Source organism: Homo sapiens, chromosome 9 (assembly GCF_000001405.40).
Source record: "Homo sapiens chromosome 9, GRCh38.p14 Primary Assembly".
NCBI lineage: Eukaryota > Metazoa > Chordata > Mammalia > Primates > Hominidae > Homo > Homo sapiens.
The window spans coordinates 110,759,783-110,785,965 of record NC_000009.12 but is presented as its reverse complement, the minus strand read 5'-3'; the positions used below and the strand labels follow the sequence as shown (position 1 = coordinate 110,785,965).

At 35.0% G+C, this 26,183-nt stretch overlaps 1 protein-coding gene and 1 long non-coding RNA gene across 10 annotated transcripts in view, besides 1 other annotated feature; one reads left to right on the top strand and one right to left on the bottom strand.

Moving 5' to 3' along the window:
* The window catches only part of MUSK (muscle associated receptor tyrosine kinase), a 137,768-nt gene that overhangs the window by 20,593 nt on the left and 90,992 nt on the right, over nucleotides 1-26,183 (bottom strand). For 3 of the 9 annotated variants that reach the window (XM_005251995.4, XM_005251996.4, NM_001369398.1), the window contains 5 exons: nucleotides 23,758-23,764; nucleotides 17,883-18,146; nucleotides 10,003-10,178; nucleotides 950-1,151; nucleotides 248-439 (listed from right to left, as the gene is read on the bottom strand). In XM_005251995.4, coding sequence (XP_005252052.1) covers nucleotides 248-439; nucleotides 950-1,151; nucleotides 10,003-10,178; nucleotides 17,883-18,146; nucleotides 23,758-23,764 — 841 coding nt within the window. Of the gene's footprint in view, nucleotides 1-247; nucleotides 440-949; nucleotides 1,152-9,310; nucleotides 9,335-10,002; nucleotides 10,179-17,882; nucleotides 18,147-23,757; nucleotides 23,765-26,183 lie in introns of all 9 variants that reach the window. The other 6 variants (XM_005251994.4, NM_005592.4, NM_001166280.2 and 3 more) reach the window with 4 other exon arrangements.
* Nucleotides 275-24,908, top strand: LOC107987115 (uncharacterized). Its single transcript, XR_001746892.2, has 3 exons — nucleotides 275-363; nucleotides 986-1,153; nucleotides 21,129-24,908. It is a non-coding gene; the product is annotated as an uncharacterized LOC107987115 (long non-coding RNA).
* Nucleotides 2,381-3,580: an enhancer, noted in NCBI's record as "CDK7 strongly-dependent group 2 enhancer chr9:113544666-113545865 (GRCh37/hg19 assembly coordinates)". NCBI's record gives its function as "activates an origin of replication core promoter dependent on BRD2, BRD4, P300/CBP, MED14 and CDK7 cofactors, with strong dependence on CDK7, by STARR-seq in HCT116 cells {active_cell/tissue: HCT116}" and the evidence as "EXISTENCE:reporter gene assay evidence [ECO:0000049][PMID:35650434]".

The following is a 26,183-nucleotide window of genomic DNA, read 5'->3' as shown; positions in this document are numbered from 1 at the left end:
ATATTGTATTAATACTATATAATACTGTATATTACACTGTGTGTATATATGTATATGTGTGTGTGTATATATATATACACACACAGTGTACATATATATGTACTATATCATTAGCTTGATATATATATATATATGTGTGTGTATATATATATAAAGCTAATATTATATATATACCAAGCTAATAGTTTGGTAGCTTTTCAGACATAACATATTTCAATGGAGTTTTTTTTTCCATAGGTAACTTTACCTTGCTTGAAACACCCTTCCAAACGCTCCCTCTCCGATGTCTCTCACATATTCAATGTTATTCCTTGGATACTCCAGGCTGAGCAATTTGGGGTTCAGAAGGAGCGGCATCCTCTGGTACATGGGGTTGGGATGAAGTCTATCTAGTAAGAGCTCAGAAGGCAGTGTGGTGAGGGTTACTGCTGCTGATTCTCTGCAGGCAAGACAGGCAAGATCAGGAATGAGCTCAGAAGCAGGTTAGATCTTTGTACTTAGACTTAGATTCTAAGAAATATGGCATTTAAGAGTAATGAAAACAAGTTATACTAAGGCAGCCAAAGATCCTTCGTTTTGAGAGCAATAAAATATTTTGTTTGGTCTAGAGTCAAAAGGCACATTTTCTCAGAAATGTTTAGCTCTCCAAGCCAGCAATGGCAACAGGCCTGAGGAGAAGACAAGGAGCAGGAATAGCCATTTTCCTCCAAATTATTGTTTAGATTTTACCTTTTGTGAAACAGTAACCCTAGGGCATTTGATTTGATCCCATGCCAAAAAGTCATTGACATTTGTAAAGATCATGATGGGGGTGCTTAATTTTAAAGCAGGGCTACGGATATATTTAGAGAGTTGCAGTGTCATATATATTCCTCACGTCATACCAACTCCATAAAACACAAGGCTTTAAAATATTACTACACATGGTTAGCTGAAACTAGAATCTCACCTTTTCTTATTTTTCCATTGTTTTCTTCTTCGGCAGCAATAGAGAGTAGTTATGGTAAGAAGCACAAATATTGCAAAGCTGGACATGATGGAGATTATTACAGTCATGGAGTATGTAGGTGAGACAGAGAAGGAAGAAGAGGAGGAGGAAGGCAGATTTGGAATGTCCACACTTGGCTTTGAGGACGTCATTGGTGGGAATGCTGTAAGTAAAGAATAATTATTTCATTCATTCTCAAACCTTTAAGAAGCAATTTTTTGTATTTAAGCAATCAGTAAAATAAATTTCATGATAATAATATATTTATGTATCAGGTTCTCCCTGGTTATATATTTATAAAGTTCAGTAAGGTCTAGTTGTAAGTAAATCCAGCTTATAGAATAATAGAATTTTAAAGATGAGACTCAGAGAGAGGAAATAGGTTTTTTTTTTCTGAGATAAATGTAGATCTTGGGCTGGTGCCATTTATACTGAATCATATTATCTATGACCTGACATAAATCATGGAAATTATCAAATAAAATATTTTCACATAATTACACTTGACATCAGGATTGTCTAGAGCTGAGCTTTTATATACATTTACTGTCAGTTTACAAACAGAAGAAAAATCATGAAAGAAGATGAAAAATGAAAATATTAGGAGACAAATGAGAAGTTAATTCATCTAAAAACTGAACTCCTGTCAAACTTCAATTTAAAAGGCCGATGTGATATGTATAAAGTAAAATCAGCATTACTGTTGGAAACCAAAAGATGCCATACTCATACCACTATTTGTAGAGTACAAAGTCCATTGTATATGTATTAAAAGAACCTTATTAATCACATTTAAATCCTCTTAACAGATTGAGTAAAGACAAAAACAGGGATACAGAGTATTTTAAAATAATCAGCAACAATGTTTTAATAGCTAAGAATGACCTTTGTACCCAAAAATAGAGAATAAACCTTCCTTTCAAATATTTGTGGATTAATCTCAATAAATTTTAAAGGCAGAAATTATGCATATCTACTTAATGGCCAAAGTGCAATTAATAATAGATTAAATAAAATCCAATGGGACATTTTTAAAAAGAAAAAAATCAATGACTTTTTGATCAAAAACTAGAGAGTAACTATAGTTATAGATTAGACACAAGCCTCTTAATAGTGTGTATTTTATTTAGCCAAAGTTGTGCTCAAAGATAAAGTCATAGTGTTATCTCCTTCCACTAGATAAAAAAGAATGAAAGTAAATGAACTGAACATTTAACCCAAGACTTTGGGTAAGAAACAATAACTACAGAAAACAAAAGATAATAGGTAATAAAGTAACAGCCATACACAAGCAGAAGTTAATAAGTTAGAATACACGTAACACAAATGATAGAATTAAAAGATCAATAGTTGGTTTTATAAATATTCATATAGTAGTCTAATCAATGGAATTTTAATTAAAGAGAAAAGGTACAAACAGAAAATTAGAAATGATAAAAAAGTTATAACAGATTCAAAGTTAATTAAAATAATGTGTAATTATTATATTTCACACCTTAAGGAAAATGATAGGAACATATTAATCCCCAAATTTGAAGCATTAGAAAATATAAATATTACCATAGGCAGGAAACTAGATTTTTAAGTCATCACATTATAAAAGACATTCTTTTAGTCTTGAAAGAGATAAAATTTCCATATTTATAATATGTTCCAGTAAGAGAAAATTCTTTCAAATTATTTTAGAAATTATTATAATACCAATATCACAACCTGGCAATGTTAGCACAGAAGAAAAGAGCATACATAGATTATACAACCTAAGTTTAGAAGATCCTAAACGAAATATTAGCAACTGACTACATCATAGTCAGAGAATAATGATTTAATAGAAGGGGACATATTAATATAACATATTACAAAGTCAAAATAAAACCTTTATGGCAGTAGATGCCTAAAGCATTTGAAATAGGGCACTTGCAAAATTGGAGGCTACAAGAGACGCTCATGTATGACTTCTTAGTCATACATGAAGTGGACCCAGTGATTATGCCCTGAGTACCAATGGCTAAGCAAGTGATTCTGAAGCCTGCGGATGCCAGGCCTGGTCACCACTGTGACTCAGGCAGGCACCTGGAACTGGAAGAACATCAGCACAGCAATAAAACATCTGCGCAAGATCAGTGACAGCATGCCTCATCCGGCACCACAGGAGTGGTGGACTCAACAGACTGACCAGGTTCCTCTCTGACTGACTTGAAAGCTAGTCTGATTCTCTTTGGACTGAGTCATCCCAAGTTTTCTCGATCTAAGATGGGTGGGTGGTGGTGGTAGGGGGTGGCTTAAATTGACGAGCTTTGCTTTCTGCTAATAATAAAGTTGGAACAATTATTAAAAGATAGGGAGAAATAACTATTTTTGTATTTGGAGTTTACAGAGCATCTCACACCATATATAACATGTGAGGGAATATAATGTAATTAGTAAAGTTGGTAGTGTAATTTCACTGGTAAATATAAGGTTAGTTTTTCTAAAAAGAATCAGAAAGTAGAATTTACTGTCATGTTAAAAGAAAAATCTATGATGATTTAGTGAGTTTTTTTAAAATGCAAGAAATGACATAGTTGGAACAATAATTTTGCTTTATGGATTTAAATGTTTCTTTCCTTCAAGATAGTTTTGTTTTGTTATTCCTTGATGACTGCTTCTGATTTGATCTGATCTTCCCTTGAACTACATCAATGATCTCTTTGGGTCTAAAGGATCACTTTGAATCGTCATTCTTTTTCCTTTTTATCTTTTCTCTCACCAATTTTCTGTCTTGATTCTTTTCCTCTGAACACTACGGGAGTTTATACACTCATTCATCCATATGTAAATGCATTCACTAAATCAATAGTGACTGTTAGGTATCCAGAACACTGTGGTGAACATGAGAAGTCTTTGCTTGTCATGAGACACAAGTGAATAAATGGAGAAATAAAACAAAATATAAGAAGCATTATAGGAGTAGTAAGAACACGATGCTTGTGAGTCTCGTTCAGGGCTGGCACTAACTCAGGTTTAGACATACTGAGAAGGTTTTCTAGAGTGAGTAACTGTAAGTTAAACATAAATGGTGAGTAGCCAGTAACCAGTTGAAGGTTATGATGATCTGAGTCTTTGTGTCTTTCCCCCACATTCATGTGTTGAAATGAATAAGGGTAGAGTCCTGATAAATGGAATTAATGCCCTTATAAAAGAGGTCCAAGAAAGCTCCCTCGCCCGTTCTGCCATGTGAGGACACAGGGAGAAGACAGCTATGTCTATGAGGAATGGGTCCTCACCAGATACCAAATCTGCTGGCACCTTGATCTTGGACTTCTTGGACTCCAGAACTGTGAGAAATAAATTTCTGTGTATAAGCCACCCAGTCTGTGGCATTTTGTTATAGCAACCTGAACAGACTAAGGAAAAGGTGTGGGCTGGGAGCAGTAGCTCACGCCTGTAATCCCAGCACTTTGGGAGGCTAAGGCGGGTGAATCACGAGGTCAGGAGATCGAGACCATCCTGGCTAACACGGTGAATCCCCATCTCTACTAAAAATACAAAAAATTAGCTGGGCATGGTGGTGGGCGCCTGTAGTCCCAGCTACTCGGGAGGCTGAGGCAAGAGGATGGCGTGAACCCGGGAGGCGGAGCTTGCAGTGAACCAAGATTGTGCCACTGCACTCCAGCCTGGGCGACAGAGTGAGACTCCGTCTCAAACAAAACAAAACAAAACAAAACAAAACAAAACAAAAAAACACACACAAACGTGTGTGTGGGATGGGGGAATTAAGAGAGTAGAATGGAGTCAGGGTAGAGAGATAGTATTCTATAAAGAAGTAATAGCATATACCAAGATCTGAACTAAGCAGATGTGATGCCTTTCTAAAAGTGCACCTAGAAGTTTCATTGTTGGAGTTGGGGAGTATCTATAGGTAAAGCTGCAGATATCAGGTTTAGTGATAAAAGTCCTTGTATACCAATTTAAGTAATTTGGACTATGCCCTGCAGCAAATGGAGGGTCTTATAGGAGTGTTTTACGAGGTGGAATAGCATGATCAACTTTTTGCATTAGAAAGGTCTGTCTACCATCCTGATTTCAATGGGATAAAGATTCCCATCATAGCTTATCTCAAGCTCCCAACATGAAGCCCTATCATGGAGTTGGAAAGAGATGTTCAATAGCACATGATTAAACAATTTTTATCATACAGATATCACGGATAAAGGGAAAAATCAAAAAGTTTCTGCCTAGATAGAAAGAATAAATTACTTACAGGAAAAAAATAAATTCACACCAGACTACCTGCTTCCAACACTAGAAGCTAGAAAAGAGTGAAATCACATCTATAAACCACCCAAAGAAATGTCACTCAGGAGTTCCATACCCAGTTAATACACTTTTCAACTACCCAAATAAAAGAAAACAATTTGATAACACACAAGGCTTCAGGGATTCTGTCTCCCAAGACACTTTCCCTTCTAAGGAAATACATGAGGAGACTCTTAATAACAATTGAATCAGAAAATAACTTCAGGATACATGTGAAGGGGCTGTGATGGGTGGAGTCTTGGCTAATTCGCTAGGTAAGACTCAATATTGAGAATCACTCTGCAAAGAGAAACCTAAGAGTACCAGGGGAGGTAAGGAAGAAGATCCAAGCAGTCTGAGGATCTCCTGGAGATTCTGAAAGTCCCATGGGGTGGGCAGAAATGAAGAATAAATAGAGCACTGCGATGTGTAGAAAGAATTGGTGTCTGACTTTCACTTAGCAGTGGAGAAAACATAACCAGTAACAAGTAAAGAAAAAGAAAAAGAAGAAGCAAAAACGTAAAGCGAATAGAAAATATACAGTTAAGATAGTAGGGATAAAATAGAGTATATCAGTTGTGATATAAAATATGAACAGGCTAAATCCTCCTATTAATAGAAAATGGCTATCTGATTGGAGTAAACCCAGGTATATGTTGTTTATAAGAAAAGAAAAATAAAAGAGGAACAAAGAGGTGCTAGGTTAACATAAATACAAGGAAAAAATTACCATTATTAATACTAGAAATTTAAAGCTAAAAGCACTAAAACAAGACAAGAGTGACATTTTACATTGGTAAAGAGCTTCATATAAAAAGAAAAGTGTCTTGGATCACTATGCCTCATAGAACATAGTAACTAAACATGTAAAGTACAAATTATTATAAATGCTAGAAGAATGTAATAAAAATAATTATGAATTGGATTGGTCTAGTAGAAAATTTATTAGAAAATCAAGGAAATCAGTAAACCCATATGTGTATAGAAGGGCTATTAATGTCATGAAATTATTAGACAGCTAGCATGAGTTTAATCTATACTCATAAAAGAACAAGGCCTTATCACAGAAAATATGGTTGCATTGCAATTCTGATCAGATCATGTTCTGTGCTTTGTGTTCAGTTCTGGATATTCTCAAGCTTGTGGCAGCCAGTAAAAAGTAAACATGGAGGTGAGGATTTTGGAAGTCAGTTGCAAAAGAAAAAGTTAAAAATTGGAGATATTTAATGTGAAGAAGAGAAGACTACAGAGAGATTGAGTGCCTGTCTCCAAATATTTTAAGGACTATCATACAGATTATAAATAAATCAAAGAAATAGAGTGAAGATCAGTTGTTGACAGTTCTAGAGAACCAGAATTTAGTTCTACATAGCTAAATTGTTGAAATAATTAATGTATTCTACAAAGGAATTGAGAAATAAATTCAGGAGGGAAAATGGAATGTTTCTGTCAGAGATGCTCTAGAAAAGATTCTTTCATTGTGGGAGACTTTAGATTAAATAACTGTTAAAGTTACTTTAAACTCCAATTTTCTAAGAACTTGTAACTTTAATATTACCACAAAAATTACCCAAACCACATTTCAAATTATGAAATAATTCATGAGTTTTACACAGACACACACACACACACACACACACAGAGACACTGACGCTTCATGATTTCATTCGTGGGCAAAATAGTAGCTGATCATTATGGAAAAATGGTCTGGGACACAAAGCATGTATTCATTTAAATGTTAACAAAAAGTCAAATCATCAAGTGGCCTGGGTGATTTAAAATTGTGAACAATAAAATTTTTATCAATTAGAGCTTCTTAAGAATAATCAATTATAACAAATGTGAAAAGGTAGTGGAATTTATTCAAGAATGAATCAGTTAAACAATCAGTTAAGCTTTATTACACATGAGGTCTTGGAATTTTTTAAGAAACATTAGTAATAACAGAAATGCATCAGGTATAACATTCTGGCTCTGAAGACAGAGCCAGAATCAGATAGATTTCAGTTCAAATTCTGGCTTATCACCTTACTAGATGGGTAAAATTGGACACATTGCTTAATCTCTCTTTCTCATGTTGGGTTGTAAGTAAAATGGAGGACGTTCATAGTACTTAATTTTGTAGAACTATTGGGAGTATTAAGAGAGATAATGTATGTATCACACTAGTCAGTTTGGATTTGGGTACATTCATTGGGTCCTTTATTCTCCATGTATATGTATAGAAAGAGCAAAGATGGAAGGAAAAAGAGAATTCAAGAGAAAAGTAATTATTTCAATGATTAAGACAAATTAACCTTTTCTCCACAGAAGCTCTGAAATAGAAGACAGATTCACTGCTGAGTGTTTCTGTAATAAAGTATGTGAAGTCTCACGGAAGAGAGGAATAGTGTAATCCTTGCTTACAAATAATGTAAATAGCACAAAGGCATTGCCTGCTCAAAAAGATGTTTCACTTCAGCCAAAGAAATTATAAAAAAGAAAAACTACTGAAATTCTAGTCCCTATGCTCAAGGAAGAAGAAAATAATGCAAAGATAAACAAATGATTAACAGCTCTTTTGTGACCCCTCCAAATGAGCTGGTGATATTCTTTAGAGTTTACTCAGAAATCAAGACACTCTTTGGAAAATACTTAAGGTCTTTACACACCCCTATAAAATATGGGACACTGCCTAATAAGGATGTTTTCTTTGCTCCACTATTGACCTGCTAAAGCCAACTCTTTTAATAATAATTGCCTTAACTCAAGGAGCATACTTTCAGATATTCCCTGCCCTACTTTCAGTTTAAATGGTTAGTTCATGACATTAGGAGCTCATTTTCTTACATGTATCGAAGATTTCATAAAGCTGTTTTTTAAAGACTAGAAAATTTATTATTGTAGCTAGTTTGTGCTGCTCAAAATTCCTTTATAATTAGTGTGAAAGGCAGAAATGTGGATGCTTTTTTGTGTATTGTTCCTGTCTAATTTAAGATGAATGGTCTGGTCCTTCCACACAGCAAACCCTCAATGAATGTTTGAATGGATGAGTGAGCAATCGATGGATAACAAAGAGCACAGTAATCAATTCAAAGTCCAATCAAAGTAAACTTTGGCTGCTCATATAACAAAGAATTGAAATTTTTTTTTATTCCTTCGATTTGGGAATAACAATTTGACAGGCTACCAGAATAATAGATTTTTAAGGTTTCCATAACTCTTCTTGTTTAATACCTCTGAGTAATTCAACTAGGACCAGTAGCATTCTTGCTTTTAATACTTTTAAGTGTTGGTCCTTTAAGCAAGCTGGTAAAATCAAGTCCTGGCACCTAGTCAAATGCAGAGGAGATTAGGGCTGGAATATGTATTACAGGAAGTAAGTGTGATTTAAGCCTTAGAACGCTGAGACCAGAGGAAGTTAGTTGACATGAAAAGCTTTTCTAATTTCATCCTGAGGATTTCTGCATTCTGACAGGTTAAAGCACTATCTGATACAAGTTATTTTGTACGACATCCCTTTTCAAGCAACCTTCTTGAATTCTTTCCCAGAGATTTTTGTGATGACCTTTTTAAAGCCATTTGATTTGATCCTATAAACTTTATACTGGAAATCAGCTGTCTTAAAAAAATACCTAACTTCCAAAAGAGGGATCTATTGTCACAAATGAAGATCATGAATTGGCTCAATGAAGAAATAAATGTTGGGTTTCATCTATACATAATTAGATTATACTGAATCAAGAATATAAAATCAAAAGGTGACATTTTAAATTTGGCTTACTTATAGCCATATAAGAAATAAAACAGACTAAAAACCTTGAGGTGGGAGATAGCATTTGTATGACTCACTAAATATGGTACTCTCTACGGTCTAATTAAAAGTTATAAACTGAGACCTTCCATGATTTTCCCTCATGTTATACCCTGGATGAGTATGGTGAGAAGACTTTGAGAGCGGCTGTACATTCTGTTCTGGGCATCAGGAAATATAAGTGTAAACACACATGCATGAATCCAATTACATACACATAAGGTTTCAAGGGCACAAACACAATTACTTACTTTTTAGGTTTTCTTTGTTATAATCTGAAGGGGAAAGGATAAAAATTTGTTTTAAGTGAGCATCCAGATATCTCACATATTCTGTGAGAGAGTGAGTGCTAAGAAATGCAAGTTCTCTCTCAGCTTTTTAATATACAACTGGAAAACATTCTTTGCATTCGAATGTGAAAGAATTGGGTCTTTGAAATTAAACCAGCTGTTAGGGATAACAACATAGTTCCTTACAAACAAAGTTCATTAAAGCAACATGAAGCAATTCAATTTTGTTTTGTGAGATCAGCATTTTCAAACATGTGTCTTATTTTAGCATGCTTTCTTGGCTAAGAAAAAGGACTTTATTCCTTTATTCCACTCTGCTGACAAAATATAAGATGTTTCTTAGCCATTTTTCTACACACTCCAGAAAATGTTACAAGCTCTCATAAGATTCCCTATGAAAGAATCTAAAATGTCAAGCAGTAATTAAAAGTGCTGTTTCATTTATTTTAGAGCAAATGAAATAAATCTTTACGCTAATCTGTACAATTAGGATAGCATTAGGATTCCGCTAGTAGGTATCTAAGGAAGGCAGAACTCAAAAAAAAAAAATTAGAAATGCCTAGAAATATTAGAAGCTTTAAGTTCACACCTTAGTTTCTTCAAAATAGTAAATTTCTCTTAACCTCCAAAGTCTTGGGAGAACTCTGTGTTACCTAGATGTGGCAGTCTGGCACAGGCCGTGGGGTCCCAATGCATGCTGGGAAGCTTGCTGCATTCTGGCACGGACAGCAAATGCATCTCGGATCTGTAGAGTCCTCTGTGGGTCTTCTCTTCCATTACCAGCCATTCTTTTGCGCAGAAGAGCTCCTTTACTGCCAAGCAGTACTCTCTAAAATAGTATATGGAGAACAAAACTTGATGAATCATTACATGTTAAAGCAAATTTGTGGCAGAGCCTAAATTCTGTGTTTTCAAGACATCATCATGGTAAATTGTTCTTGAAAAAAGCGCGTTTATGAAAGAAACTTTTTACTGTAAATAATATGAGACCTCATGAAATCTAGTGTACTGTCCCGTGAGATGAAATGCTATCTCGTTTTGTTGTGAAACACAATTAATGCTAGTCTAAGGGAAAAAAACGTCAAATTTAAAACGTATTAGATTGGGAATCTCTGATATGTCTTCTCCCAACTTCATATTCAAATAACAACACAGGTAGAGGAAAAAGGTATACAGAGTTTAAAAAACACACCTACTGAAAGTCAGGATCATTGTCAACCAGTTTCCAGCTTGGAAGATTTTTCTATGATCTTGGGGCTAATGGGTAGGGCTCGAGGAACACAGTCTGGGCCTCTGTGTGCTTTGTCCTCTGAAACAGAACACCACCACCTCCCTGGCAGCTTATAGGAGGGCATCTGGGTCCTTACTCAGCCCTTACTTTGAGGCACGGAATCCTGTCCCATTGCTCTGCGTGCTTCCATCTGAGAAAGCCAAAGTATTATCTGTTTGAATATGAAGCTGTTATGTTCATCTACATGTTGTATTATGAGTGAAGGGGCTGAAGAAACACTAATTGGACTACTTGGAATTTTGCAGATTAGTATTTGTTTAAGCCTGATAGAAAATAGGACAAACTGCATAGGAAAAACCTGGTTAATTTCAAATTAAGGTATTTGGGGTTAATAATAAGAGGAAATTAAAGATAATTAAATAAATTAAACATAATAATAGCAGATGTCCTTTATTCAGTATCTGAAGGATTCAGAGAGGAGGAAATTGTAAGAGTGTGTGTGTGTGTGTGTGTGTGTGTATATATATGCCACAATGGTGTCTTTTTTCATACTTATTCCCACACTCCTACTTTCCTAACTTGCCAATATGTGCTAATTGAGTATGCATAGAATAAAAGGCTGTGCATATGAATGTGATGAGATGCAAATATATTCTTATATGAAGAAAACAATGGGATTTATAATTCTTGGTGTGCGTAAGGGAGAAGGGAGTATAATGGGGCTTTCAAGACTTCTGAGCAGGTAAAGGACCTGAGGAGAGTTGCTTAGCTTGGTTCCACCCCTGGGTTGTATAAGCACATTTTTTTGCACGCAGACAGCATAGTTAAAGTGTAAATCAATATGGGACATATGAAAACAACTCCATACTCCACATTAGGCAGAAGAAGCAAATACCTGGGAAATTTTTTTATTCTAAACAGAAGAACACATTAATGAATGGCTTTTGGTTTGCTTTGTTTTCATTGCCATGCACTAAAGCATGCCCTCTATAGCAGAGTTTTTCACAAGAAAAAACAAATCAAGATGAACTATAGACTAAAAAGTAGGATAATTTGAACATGGAAGTAACTACAGAAAATAGAAACCACAAAAAATAAAACCAACACTTAACAATCTTCATTGAAAATAGAAAACAAATGGCACTGCAAGAAATAAACAAATTTGAATTAAATATTCAATTGAATGCAGAAAGAAAGGACCTAACTGAATGCAAGAAGGGCTAAACAGATGAAAATAATGTGTGAAATAACTGATAAGGTGGAGCAAGTAAGAAGTTCAAAATCAAATAATAGTGTTTCTTAGCAAGAGAACCAGAGCACATAAAAAATAGAAAATAATCAAAGATGTGGTATAAGAAAACATTTTTAAGATGAAAAGGGCACAATGTTTAGGGCATATTACCCATTATTTTTATATTATTTATATTACATGAAAGAAAACAATGAGAATAAATCTATCCCCAAATGAATTTTACAAATATTTTGAATCTCAACAATTAAAGAAATAATCTTTCTACAATCTGGAGAGAGGAAAATGTTCCTTACAAAGGAACAAAAGTCAGGATTGCTTTCTTCTTCCTCTTTATTACAACATGGCCAGAAAATAATTGGTCAGAGTCCACAGTTTTGAGGATAAGTAACACAAGTGAGGAGAACTAACGCAAAAGCTAACACTTGTGTTAACACAGACTTAAATACCCAGTCAAAAACACATATGTACAATGACAGAATTTTTTTTTACATGTGAAAAACACCTACTCCAGCTGAATGAGAGATGAGTAAAGATGAGATGAATGAACAAGAAGTGAATTTAAATTAGGAATTTAAGAAAAAGAAATATTTTATTTGAAATGAATGACAATGAGTATCAATGATAAGTAACATAGTATAAGCTCCTCCAAGTATCTACTTATACATGATTATGAAATCAAATGTAAAAGCTAAGAATAATGTTCCAAAAATTGAGCATATGCAAATAAAATATAATTGAACAATACAAATACGGTTGATAATTTCAGGTAAAGTTTCAAAGAACAAGTGTGGAAGATTCAGTACAATTATGCTAACTTAATTAAGTCTACCCTGAACACCTTATTTTTAAAGTTACAACTTTCTCCTCTCCGTTTGTTATTTCTGGTCTTCCTTAAAGCATTCCTTTTTTCTTTTTCCATGACATTTAACACCTTCTAAAGTTATATATAAGTTGTTTATTATGTTCATTAATATATCCCAAATGCTCAGTGTAGTACTTGGAGCCCAGAAGGAGATCAATAAATATTTGTTAGACAATAAAATTCCATGTCGTTCATGAAAAGAGGCACACATCATTGAATGACTGCTTATGTTAGGTTGGGGCAAAAGTAATTGCGGTTCTTGCCATTACTTTTAATGGAAAAAAAACACAATTACTTTTGTACCAACCTAATAATTAGAAAACCATGAGTGATAGCACGCTTTTAAAAATATCACAAGCAAGTAGAAGTAGAATATAAAATGGTTGACAACTTCTGAACTAGTTTGATGAATAAAGGTAGAGACTTTTTCAAAAGATATAACAAAAAAATGAAGATCAAACTTACCAGTTATCAGCAGTAAATTCAATTTTAGTTTAATATTTCTTGGTGCAAAAAGCAGGAGTCAGAATTGCAAGAAAACATTCTTGGAAACACAATTGTGAAAATTTTGACGCATCACTATTAAACTATTGGACCAAATAGCTAATACTCATTTAAGAGCAGAAAGGATTGAACATAAATATATGAATTTTGTATGTTAATGGAAGAGACTAAGTCTTTATAAATGCCAATTTTTATTATTATATATCAGAGAAAAAACCTCTATAAAATATTAAAATGTAAAAATTTTTAGATTATATTTTCTTACTTCAATGGGAACAAAATATTTGATGATGAGGATTTTAAAAAATAACATTTTCCCAATAAAACTACTTATTTAAATAACAATGGGAATTAGAAAAAAAATTTAAATGTATACTGTGAATGACATAGATTTAGGAAATAACTATGATTTTCTAATAAATTTAACATTTCAATGAAAGGGATTTTTTTCTTTCAAAAAGGTGAATTATTTTCAAGATTAGAAAGAACATCTGTGGCTCAGGCATGTAAACTGATCTGGGACATAAATGCTGGAAAGTTAATAAATGTATTTTGTGCTAGCACATGAAGATAAAATTTAATTTTAATTCTAGTAAAAATTTCTGAAATTTCAATTAAGAAAGAGTAGAATCTAATTAAGATTTATAGTTTTATATTATATATAAACTATATATAATAATTTATAGACCATATTTTTCCATCAGAGGAACCATAGACTATCAATCAAAAATCTAATAGAATACTGTAAAGCGGTTGTTGTATATAAATATAATAAAATGAAATGGCTTTATTATATAGTAGTAACAACTCGTTAACAAAATGGAAAATAATACACATTTGTTGGCAAGGATTAATGATTTATGATTGATGAGACTTGATTCCTCTCAATAATTAGGAGGTATAATACCAAACAAAATTGGAATAAACTACAAATTGCAGGAATAAATTATTTGGTTGATCCTTTGTGTCTAAAGCTGGTATCTGACTTTTTTGTTGTGGCTGATGAGTCTGTCATCTTGAGTGGCCTAACATTTCTATACTAACTTTCCTTTTGATACTGCAGTTGTTCAAATTAATTGCTTTATAATTCTTAGGCAGCATGAAGGGGAGCTTGACCCTACCTACTTCTTCACATAACTATTTCCATCTCAACCACACAAATAAAAGCTGCAATGAAAAGGAACAAACCACTGTTACATGTAGCAATGTGGATGAATATCAAAAACATGTTGAACAAAAGAAGTCAGACACAAAGCAGTATATATTATACAATTTCATGAGTATGAGATTCAGGAACAAGCAAAACTAGTTGTCAGAGAAATCAGAACGACGATGCCTTTAGAGATAATGGGAAGTTGATTAGAAATGAGCATAAGAGGGCTGGGCGCGGTGGCTCACGCCTGTAATCTCAGCACTTTGGGAGACCGAGGCAGGTGAATCACCTGAGGTCAGGAGTTCGAGACCAGCCTGACCAACAAGGTGAAACCCCATCTCTACTAAAAATACAAAAATACCTGGTGACAGGTGCCTGTAGTCCCAGCTACTTGGGAGGCTGAGACAGGAGAATTGCTTGAACCCAGGGACAAAAAAAAAAAAAAAAAAAAAAGAAGGAAATGAGCATAAGAGAAATTTATGGGTGGTGAAAACATTCTATGTCTTGATTGGGGTAGTGGTTACATTGTTGTATACGTTTGTCAAACTCTGAACTATATGGTTAAAAGGGGCACAGTTTCTTGTATATAAATTATACTTCTATCAACTAACTACCTCAAAAAAAAGAATACATTTTTAGAAATCTGATTAATATGATCCAAAAAATTACATAGTTCAACTCTAAAATGTACAAATTCTAAAGAAATTAATGGCAGTTTTATTAAAATAAGGAACAAGGGAATTAATTGCATCTCTATGTTTTATGGACATTCTAGCCTCCTGTAATAACTATATTATAATTAATACTCTTGCAACAACAGCAATGACTATAAAACACACCTAGTCATAAATTTAATTAAAAAAAAGTAAGAAAGAAATCATCAAATTTTACTAGCAGGCATAATACAAGATCTACATAAAAAGAATGGCATACCATACTCCTAAATGAGAATACTCAGTAATGTAAATATAGCTCTGTGCCCTAAGTTAATTGTATAAACTTAGCATCATTCTGATCAAATTCTAAATGGTATTTACATGTGGACATTGGCAAAATGTTTCTAAATTTTATATTTAAAAATAATTATATAGTGAGCTATATAATATATAATTATATTATTATAAACTATAATTATAATTATATATTAATTATATGTTATATAATTAATATATAATTGTAAATTATATCAATTATATAAGTTATATACTATAATATATAATTATATAGCTTATAATTAGTTATATCATATTAAGTATTATTTATTATTAATATAATAATTATTAATTATTATTGATAATTATTGTTAAGTTAATATATAATTGTATTATATAACTTATATAATTATTTTTAAATATGAAATTTAGAAACATTTTGCCAATGTCAACATGTAATAAAAATAATTATATAATGAGTAAACAATAATTTTTTAAAAGATGAAAACCTGCGAAATTCGTAGCACAAATTGAAATTAATTATAAAGACAGTAATTAAACCCAAAGTCTCTAATGCAAAAATAGAGAAACCATCCATGAAATAGAATTCAGAGTACAGAAATATAGATATAAGTAAATATAAGTAAACACACACCTCAGTAGTGACCAACTTTCTGGGTTTTAGCAATGAAAGTACTGTGTTCTTTTTTTATACAATGGAGTCTTGTGGGTTTTGTAATCAGAAAACCACAATGGCTGTCACACACACAGAGAATTTTTCTAATCTAATTATTATTTCTCTCAAGCATCTATCCATGGTGTTGAGCTGATTTGCCTGAGTGTCACTGTGTAAGTATGATAACTATCCCGTGGCCACCACAAATTATGTTAGTAGTACTAAAGGAAAAGCTGATAGAATCTACTGTCACTTTATTTTGCTGGTTACATTCTGTTTATTATACACGTGCTACTTTCTAGCAAAAGGATTTTCACTGTTGAGCAGTACGTCAAATAAACAATTTTGGAGAATCCTATAAAGAAGCCCAAGAAAGAGAAATCTAAACTAAAGAAGTGATAATTAACAGAGACACTATTTTTTCAAATAACTGCAAGGACAGTTGAAATAGCATCAGTATTTCTTAAGTTCTATTAAAACAAATTTTACTGCCCCTCACCCACTCTTCCCATTTTTTTTTGCAGTAATTTTACTTTTTCTCTCCTTCTCTTTCCCCTTCTTATTCTGTCAATGCTGAAGTCCCTAGAGATTTTTAGATAACATGCCTGATCACAATACAATCTTCTTAGATGAATAAACAAATTATATTACTCTTATAGTGTCTCCAAACCCTCAAACTTTGCAGTAAATTGAGGAATACAAAACTCTAATTTAATGACCATACTGTTGTTATTGAATGCTAAATAGAGAGTGTCCTCAAATTATTGCAATATTTAAATAGTTTCTGGTTTTATCAAAATAGAAGTGGAAATGTGCTGTGTTGGTTGTTGTCATGGGGTTTCCTCAACAGAAAATTTAGGAATAACAATGTCTATCTAGTTTCTGACATATTCCATGAGTGTGATTTTTCCTTTAATCCTCTCAATTCTACCGTGCAGATGAGGAAACTGAAGTTTAGCCAAGACCACACACATCGAGAAAGCAGAACTAACAGTATTTGAACTTTGTTCTATTTAGCTCAAAAACTAGATTCTTTTTTTTCTACATAAGAAGTAATTAAAGATGAAGATAATTCTATTGAACATAAATTTATCAATTTCAATATTTAAAAAGTATGGGAGTTTAACAAAATATCTATTTATAATCTAATTCCTTCCTATAACCACCCAAATGAGGCAACAGCATCAGAACTTAGAATTTTGGATGGAATGTACTTTAAAATAACATTCAGAGATGCTTGGCATGATCTCATTTATTGACAAATAATGTACAGTTTTTATTTTCTCTATCTTGGCTTACTAATGAGGTCCATGTTTAAGATTTCTCCTTTCATCTGATAGAAATCTGGGATATTTATGGATATGATAATAATGTGAACAATAACAAGAGTAATGGAATATTACACCATTTATGATATTTTCTAGAGGTTCTAAGTACTTGTATTTTAGGTTATCTTTAGTGATTTATATGGTAGAAATATTGTCTGATTAATTACCTCCTATTTGTTTGTTTGTTTGAGACAGAGTCTCAACACTCAGGCTGGAGTGCAGTGGTGCAATCTCGGCTCACTGCAACCTCTGCCTCCCCAGTTCAAGTGATTCTCCTGCCTCAGCCTCCCGAGTAGCTGGGATTACAAGTGCACCACCACACCTGGCTAATTTTTGTATGTTTAGTAGAGACGGGGTTTCACCATGTTGGACAGGCTGGTGTTAAACTCCTGACCTCAAGTGATCCACCCACTTCGGCCTCCCGAAGTGCTGGGATTACAGGCATGAGCCACTGCACCCAGGCATTAACCTCCTATTTTGGATGAAAACCAGCTTTTCCTTTTACTGTTGCATATTACAACATTTTTCAAAAACTCCTTCTGTTGTGCAGATAGAAAAATGGAATTTTTCCTTTGACTTATTTTTGAGATTTTACCTGCAAATGGGAATAGGAGTAGGCACTACTCCAGGACTGCACTCCTGGAAGATGTGGTTACACAACAAAGCCTCAGCAGCTGGCCGGCAGACTGGGCTCACTACTTTCAGTTCATTCCAGGCCGTGTGGACCAGTAGCTCTTGGGCCTCCTCAGGGTCCGCATAGGAGGTGTTGAGAAAAACAAGAGCATCTTTTGCCAGGACTGCATTACACACCTCCCCTCTGTACTGGGCGCAGTAGCCTTTGTTATCTTTCTGTGGTTTACTGAAAGAAGAAATGAACAACATTTCTAATCACATGCTATTTCTTGGCATTCATTCTGCTTTTCTTTTTTTTTTTGGTTTTCACATCTGTGTCTCAGAAATAGGAGAAAATTGTACTAGTAAATTGGTTGACACGCTCCATTTGAATATTGTCTTCATTTCCAGCTGCAATTATATCATCTCTAGCTACTCCACAGGGCTATTGAGAAGGCCAAATGTGACGATAGATGTGGAAAGCTTTGGGAACTATGAAGGACTGAATAGATTTGGGTATTTTTAATATTTTACATTATAAATAGAATCTGACTACTCTTAGTTAATAAGCTGATATAAGCAAAGATGCATCTGGAAGACATTTCATCATGATGGTTAACAAATAATTGAGCATAAGAATAATTGCTCTCACCTAAAAAGTTTGCAGCTTTAGGAACATAGTTTATTTATGTGTTATGATAGTTTACCTTAATTTTTGACAACATATACATCTTTGCAACACCTTCCACACTCAGATTCTCCCACTCACACATCTTCCTAGAATTCCATTAAAGAAAAAGAAAGTGATGTAGGGAGGAGAAAGCAGAAATATGGCTTCCAGAGGAGCCAAGTAGCACCTTCAGCTTTGCTGTTTTCTCATCATGTCTCATCACATGGAAAGTCAACTGGTCACCCAGTGCCTCAGTGATCTATTCTGTTGAATGATGTAAGTAATTACTCTGAACTCGGATTATTGTGTGTTAATGGGCCATATATCAGGGAGAAACCTGTAAATGCTAGTGCTAGCACAAACATAGGATTAAAAACTTATCTGCTATAATAACTGAAGACAATTGGGAGAATGGAAAATGCTATTGGTACTCTCTTCACACATCTACTTGTTCCCTTAATATAATGCTGGGAATTATAACAACTCATATTCTCACCTGACAAACATATATTGAATACTTATTATGTGTAGGCACTGTGATGGTCTCAGTATATTCTTATGTGTTCTATCAGATCTTCCATAGTGTTAGTAATGACTTAAGAAAACTCTTAAGTTATATTCTCATTTAGATTTGTACAACTATCGAATTTAGTTTTTCATTGTCTTTATATAAAGAATTTAAAGTAAGAAAATTAAACAAATTAGAATTTGTGTCAAATTTTAAAATTGTTACGTGACCCCAATTGAATTTAAAAAATTAATACTATAATTACAAACCACCACTGGCAGGTCTTTAAAGCAAATTCATTGGAATGAGATATAATACATTCAGGTAAAATGATGAACTTCCAAGAAACACAGCTATACTTTAAAACAATATTTTGTAATATAGAGTCTTCCTTTAATTCATACTGGCCTTTTTCTAATTAGCCAACATGAGTTTTACTGTATCCCTTTGTTTGTTGGGAATATTTAAAATGAAGGCCTTGAATAAGAAAGCACAAAACTCCACAAAAACTTTCTCAAGGTAAAGGTGAGAAAACCCCCAGAGAAAATTAGACAGAAACAAGGATGCTGTTGTTGAGGCTCAGTAAACGACACCCCAAGGTGAAGGCCTAAGAAGCAGCCTCAGAAACAGACCTTCTGCCCTCCTGTCTCTCCTCTCTTTCTTCCCTCAGGCAAACCTTAGACACTAGAATCCCTCTTCTCCAAGTCAGATCAGACACCAGAACGCCTTTTCCTCAAGGCCAGCCATAAAACCTAAACATTTACTCTACCCACCCCCAGCTTTTCTGTGTAACACCTGGCCATAAAGAAATTCAGACCCTCATTCCAGAGGGATCCTACCTCTTGCCTGGGAGGAGTGAGTGCTGCACAGAGGGGCTGAGAAAAATCTGAACAAGCAGGATGGGCTAGTTTCCCCACTCAGCCTGTTAGCATTAGATCATACCCTTTGTGTCTAATCATATTTCTACACAGCTGTTCATACTTCATTGAACCTAAGCATAAAAATGGATTGCTTTGGCTGAGTGTGGTGGCTCACACCTGTAATCCCAGCACTTTGGGAGGCCGAGATGGGTGGATCACCTGAGGTCAGGAGTTTGAGACCAGCCTGGCCGACATCGAGAAACCCAGTCTCTACTAAAAACATAAAAATTAGCCGGGCGTGGTGGCGGACATCTGTAATCCCAGCTACTCGAGGGGCTGAGGCAGGAGAATCACTTGAATCTGGGGGGCAGAGGTTGCAGTGAGCTGAGATTGCACCTCTGCACTCCGGCCTGGGTGACAGAGCGAGACTCTGTCTCAGAAAAAAAGGATTGCTTTCCCTGTATCTGGGGTCTTTATTCTGAAGGGTCCCATGTTATGTAAAACTGTGATCAAACATATTTGTTATGCTCTTCTCTTGTTAACCTGTCATTGTTATATAGGTGTCAGCCATGACTGTTAGGATGGGAAGGAAAGGAATTAATCCCTAACCAGCTTCTACACTGTGCTTTAAGAAACTATATAATAAGGAGTAACCAGAAATATCTCAAACTGGTTTACGAAATGGTCTCACATGTTGACGTAATATCTCGGCATAAAGGGGGATGAATAAGAGCATGTGTGACTCTTTACGCTTAACAGAAAAAACTCCACCATGTAAAAATTAAATATTTCTCAGTGTCTCCGAGCTGAGAATTATTCATTCAGGTTTTGCTGTCATGTGTTAACTATTCAATGATGCTGTTACTCATTTTCCATGAGTATTTTTAAAAATAATAGACATTTCATGATGTTTCCTTTAATTATACATCAAAACACACTTTTTTAAAAAACTGGAAACTAAGAAAAAGTACACAAAAGAAAAATTAATGAAAATAACTTCAGAGATAAGGATTACTAACAATCAACTAATAATGAACCCCTCTGTCTGAATTTCTGCTAGTATTGAATCCTCATTAGTTTTACAGCATTAAGTATATAATGCAAAATAAAAATGAAAAAGAAAAAAAGACAATAGGTTTTGAATAGAAATGAGAAGATCTTAGTTTTAATTTTGCTTTTTCTTCCTAACAGCTTGATGACCACTAGCTTATACAAACCCTTTATGTGCTGGGAAAAAACATACACATACAAAGTATATGATTATTATTAGTTTTCTACATTTCATTTCTATGATGTTCCTGGAATAATTAAGGACTTGGCTTTGGTATTATATCAGTGCTTGGATTAGCTCTAAAAGGTAAGGCACACACAAGACCGATGATCTACCTACCTATCTATCTATCTATCTATCTATCTATCTATCTAATCTATCTATCTATCTATCTAAATTTATATATATCTGAATTTGTTTATCTATCAACTACCTATAGTTTCAGTGTTTCAACCACTTCCTTTTCCTCTCCTCTTGTGCAGAAATATAAGCCTTCAATTTTACACAGTGATCAAATTCTAGATGCAAGACACAGAGGCCAACTGGAACATTTTGTCCCTCAAACCCCTAAATCTATCACTTCAAACATTTTTAAAAGGAGCTCACAGCAAGAACTGGGGAATGAGATAAATGCAAATAATTTCCATTGGTGTCTTCTGTTGTCTTTTGTAAGTGACAAGACCCCTCCATGTCCAGCTAAAGTTGTGTTTCTCTGCCTGCAGTTCGTGGTACTGCTGATGGGGCAACACTAGAAGCAGCTGGTCCTGTTGCTCATTAGAACCGTGGGACAGAGGTCACAGGGATCCATTCACAGAATGCTGGTTATTTCGGAATCATCAGCCAGACTAGCTTCTAATAATGCTAGTTAATATTGCACATGGAAACAGTCCCTCTCTTGCCTCCTTACAATATAAACTCAGTTGACTTCTCTTTCAGAAAAGTTCCCTTTCTTGTAGAGGCAATAATGGATATTTGATCTCGGATCTCCTTTTCAACTTCTTTTATAACAGACAACCCTATGTGGTCAAAGGGAGTAGGTAAAGAATTCTCACTGCACCTCTTACTCCTATTTCTCTCTACTTTGAAACGCATGAATCACATTCAATAGAACATTTTAAAATGTTATCTTCAAGTTTCTCTGAGGGAGATGTCTACTCCCTTTGAACACATAATATTTTGTCCCAAGGGCATTCCAGATGACCAGCCATGGCATGTTTGTGTTATGACAACCCCAAGACTCTAGTGGAAACTCCACACCTTACTTCCCTCCCTCCCTGCACAGGCACACTTGACAGCTGTACCTCTCCTCTGCTTCAGACAAATCTTCCCTTTTTTAGCAACTGCCTTATCTCTCCTTGAACATTCCCAACAAAGGTAATGACAGATTCTGTGCTACTTCCAACCTTCAAAGCAAACGGGAACTGTTTCTATTCTTTCGCGTCTAGTGTCTTTGTATATAATTTATTCTCCAAGGCAGGGGTCAGCAAGTACAACCCACAGGACAAATTTGGCCTGCTGCCTGTTTTTTTCAGAAGGAGGGTTATTAAATGGCACTTTTATTAATTTTAGTTTAGATAAACTTTACTCTGCTAAGGCAGTAGCTCCAAAATTGTTAATAAAAATTATTAAAGCAATATTTAGATTAAAAAATGGACTCAGAATTTTTTCTTTTTTTTGAACTGAGAATTTTTGATACCACATTAACAAACTGGAATGCAGTCAATTATGACAAATCACTATCCTATATACTTAAAACTAGTTTAATTTTTCATATAATGTGTATCATGATTTTCACTGCTTTTCAGAGCAATATATACATCCAAATGGTATTTCTTAAGACCTTTTTAACAGTAAAACTTTAAAAGGTGTTTTTAGTTAAAAAAAACTGTTTTTTTTATTGTGTACCACATGATGTTTTAAAACATGTACGCATTGTGGGATGACTAAATTGAGCTAATTAACAAATGCATTACCTCACATACTTACCATTTTCTGATGATGAGAACACTTAAAATCTATTCTCAGTGGTTGTCAAGAATACAATACATTGTTATTAATGATAGTCACTGTATTGTACTCTAAATCTCTTGAACTTATTTTTGCTATCTAACCAAAATTTTGTATCCTGCTGCCTGTTTTTAAACGTAGGCTATGTGCTAAGAATGCTGTCTTAAAATTAATTACACTCCATAGAGTTTTATGAAGGTCAGTTTTAAAAGTACTGCAAATAAAACACTGTAAGTTGCAAAAGGTTATATTGCAAGGGATACCTTCTTATATATAGGTTAGAGCTATAAGGGGGAGTTTGGCAGTTCTGGGTTCCATTTCTAACTTTATCATTTACTGGCTGTGTAAGCCACTTGAACTCTCCAGTTCAAAGAAACTTTCTTAGGTTTTTTTATTTTTTTTTTCTGCAAAATAGAGATAACAATAATACCCATTCCATGGGGATGTCTTGAAGATAGATTTAAATAATGCATGTGAAGCTCAGCACAGTGCCCGATCCATAGTAAGTATTCAGTAGAGGTTACCTGTCTTTCACTTCATCATACTTACTAAAAGGATTAGAAATTAGAAAGTTTCTAAAATGTTACAGTGCTCAGCAAATAGTAAACACTCAATAAATGGCATGTCAAATAACAAAAACAAAACATACTCCACCGCACTCCAGCCTGGGCAACACAAGACCCTCTCACAGACAAAAACAAACAAACGAAATCCCTACAAAACAAAACATTGGAAACAATTGTTACAATAACAGTTTCTTACCTCCATTCTATTAACAGGAAAGGAAGTTCCCACAGGAAGTCAAATTAAAGGAGAAAAGAAAGAACGTTAGTACATTTTCATCTTATGCTTTGGCTGAGATTGTTTTGATACTACTGATCTCTAAGTTTCTGAAAAGTTCTCCGCTTCTGCTAGGAGGCCAGATGCTGCATTAATGGGCAGATTCGGAGGAAATGAAGAAAATATTGAGTATCTTTAGGAAGCAGGTTCTTTTCAAACTGAGTCAATCATGGGTAACATCCACCAAGGCAATATCTAAGCTCAGAATTTCCCTCCATTAGCTACCCAGGGACTTTACATTAAGAAATCAAGATGTGGGCCGGGCGCGGTGGCTCACGCCTGTAATCCCAGCACTTTGGAAGGCCGAGGTGGGCGGATCATGAGGTCAGGAGATCGAGACCATCCTGGCTAACACGGTGAAACCCCATCTCTACTAAAAATACAAAAAATTAGCCGGGCGAGGTGGCGGGCGCCTGTAATCCCGCTACGTGGGAGGCTGAGGCAGGAGAATGGCGTGAACCCCCGGGGGGCGGAGCCTGCAGTGAACCAAGATCGCGCCAGTGCACTCCAGCCTGGGCGACAGCGAGACTCCGTCTCAAAAAAAAAAAAAAAAAAAAAAAAAAGCAAGATGTGGAGGTTAACAGAGAAGATGCATAAAGCAGACTTGGAAAAAAAGAAAAAAGAAGGAGAAGGAGAAAAGAAAAGAACATGCAGAGGAGAGAGGGTAGAAGAGAAAGTAGGCAATGGTTGTTCTCATAGACCTGGCTGCCTCAAGGCTGTGTGCCCTGGGTAGCTGCATGGCATCTGCACTCAGAAGGGCCTCGGGCTTAATTTAATGTTCTGCTCTCCCTACCTTGAAATCCTTACCGTTTTTGGAACACCTAGCCCTGCAAATTATGTAGCTGCCCATGCTCACGGATGTAAAAACTCAGGGCTCTGAGGAGAATACGCCTCTCCTCTGGTGGTATGTGATTCCCAGGACAAACAGCCCCAACTCAGACTCTGCCAAGGCATGAGAATCCCGGCAAGGGTGTGATATAACCAGCATTTCTGAATTATTCCATTTTCTTTCTTGTAAATTAAAAACTTCACACTCTTTACCAAGTGCTTTATGGTTACTTCGTCCTGTCCTCTCAACCCTCATTACGAAAATAAACAGTAAAACATATGCTTTGTCTAAAACCAATTTGCCATATTAAAATTTCTCCTAATGTTGAGGTCTAACTCCGTTTTGAAGGTTTTAGATCCATTTGGGTGTTATTTTGGGGGGGATTTTTAAGGGCTGTAACATGAATTTCTCTGAGAGGTCAATCTTCTTAAAATACAATGAGCTTGTATTTCTAATCATTCTCTTTGAGATTGGTGAGGGTTGGTAACTAGAAGGTTTTTATAACTTTGAGTGTATGACTTTTTTGAATCTTTATGAGCTTTTTATTCAGTGATCCTGAAGAATATTTTAACTTTGATTTTAGGTTCGGGGGTACATAATTCAGGTTTGTTGTGTAGGTAAACTTGTGACTTGCGAGTTTGGTGTATAGATTATTTCATCACCCGCGTACTAACCATAGTGCCCGAAAGTTGTTCTATTTTTTTTTTTCCTAATCCTCTCCTTTCTCCAACCCTCTACCCTCAGGTAGATCCCAGTGTCTGTTGTTCCCCTCTTTCTGTCCATGTGTTCTCATTATTTAGCTCCCACTTATAAGTGGGAACATGCAGTATTTAGTTTCCTGTTCCTGCATTAGTTTGCTAAGGATAGTGGCCTCCAGTTCCATACATGTTCCTGCAAAGGACATGATCTTATTATTTTTTATGACCACGTAGTATTCCATGGTGTATATGTGCCACATTTCCTTTGTCCAATCTGTCATTGATAGGCATTTAGGTTGATTCCACATCTTGGCTATTATGAATAGTGCTGCAACGAACATTTGCATGCATGTGTCTTTATGGTAGACTGATTTATATTCCTTTGAATATATACTCAGTAGCGGAATTGCTGGGTCGAATGGTAGTTCTGTTTTTGTTATCTTAGGACTTACCACACTGCTTTCCACAGTGGTTGAACTAATTTACACCACCAGCAGCAGTGTATAAGAGTTCCCTTTTCTCAGCAACCTCGCCAGTGTCTGTTATTTTTTAATTTTTTATTTCTTTTGAGGTGGAGTCTCACTGTGTGGCCCAGGAGGGAGTGCAGTGGTGTGATCTTGGCTCACTGCAGCCTCTGCCTCCTGGGTTCAAGTTATTTTCCTGCCTCAGCCTCCCAAGCAGCTGGGATTACAGGCATGTGCCACCACACCTGGCTAACTTTTGGATTTCTAGTAGAGACGAGGTTTTGCCATGTTGTCCAGGCTGGTCTCAGACAGCATCTGTTATGTTTTGACTTTTTAATAATAGCCACTCTAACTGGA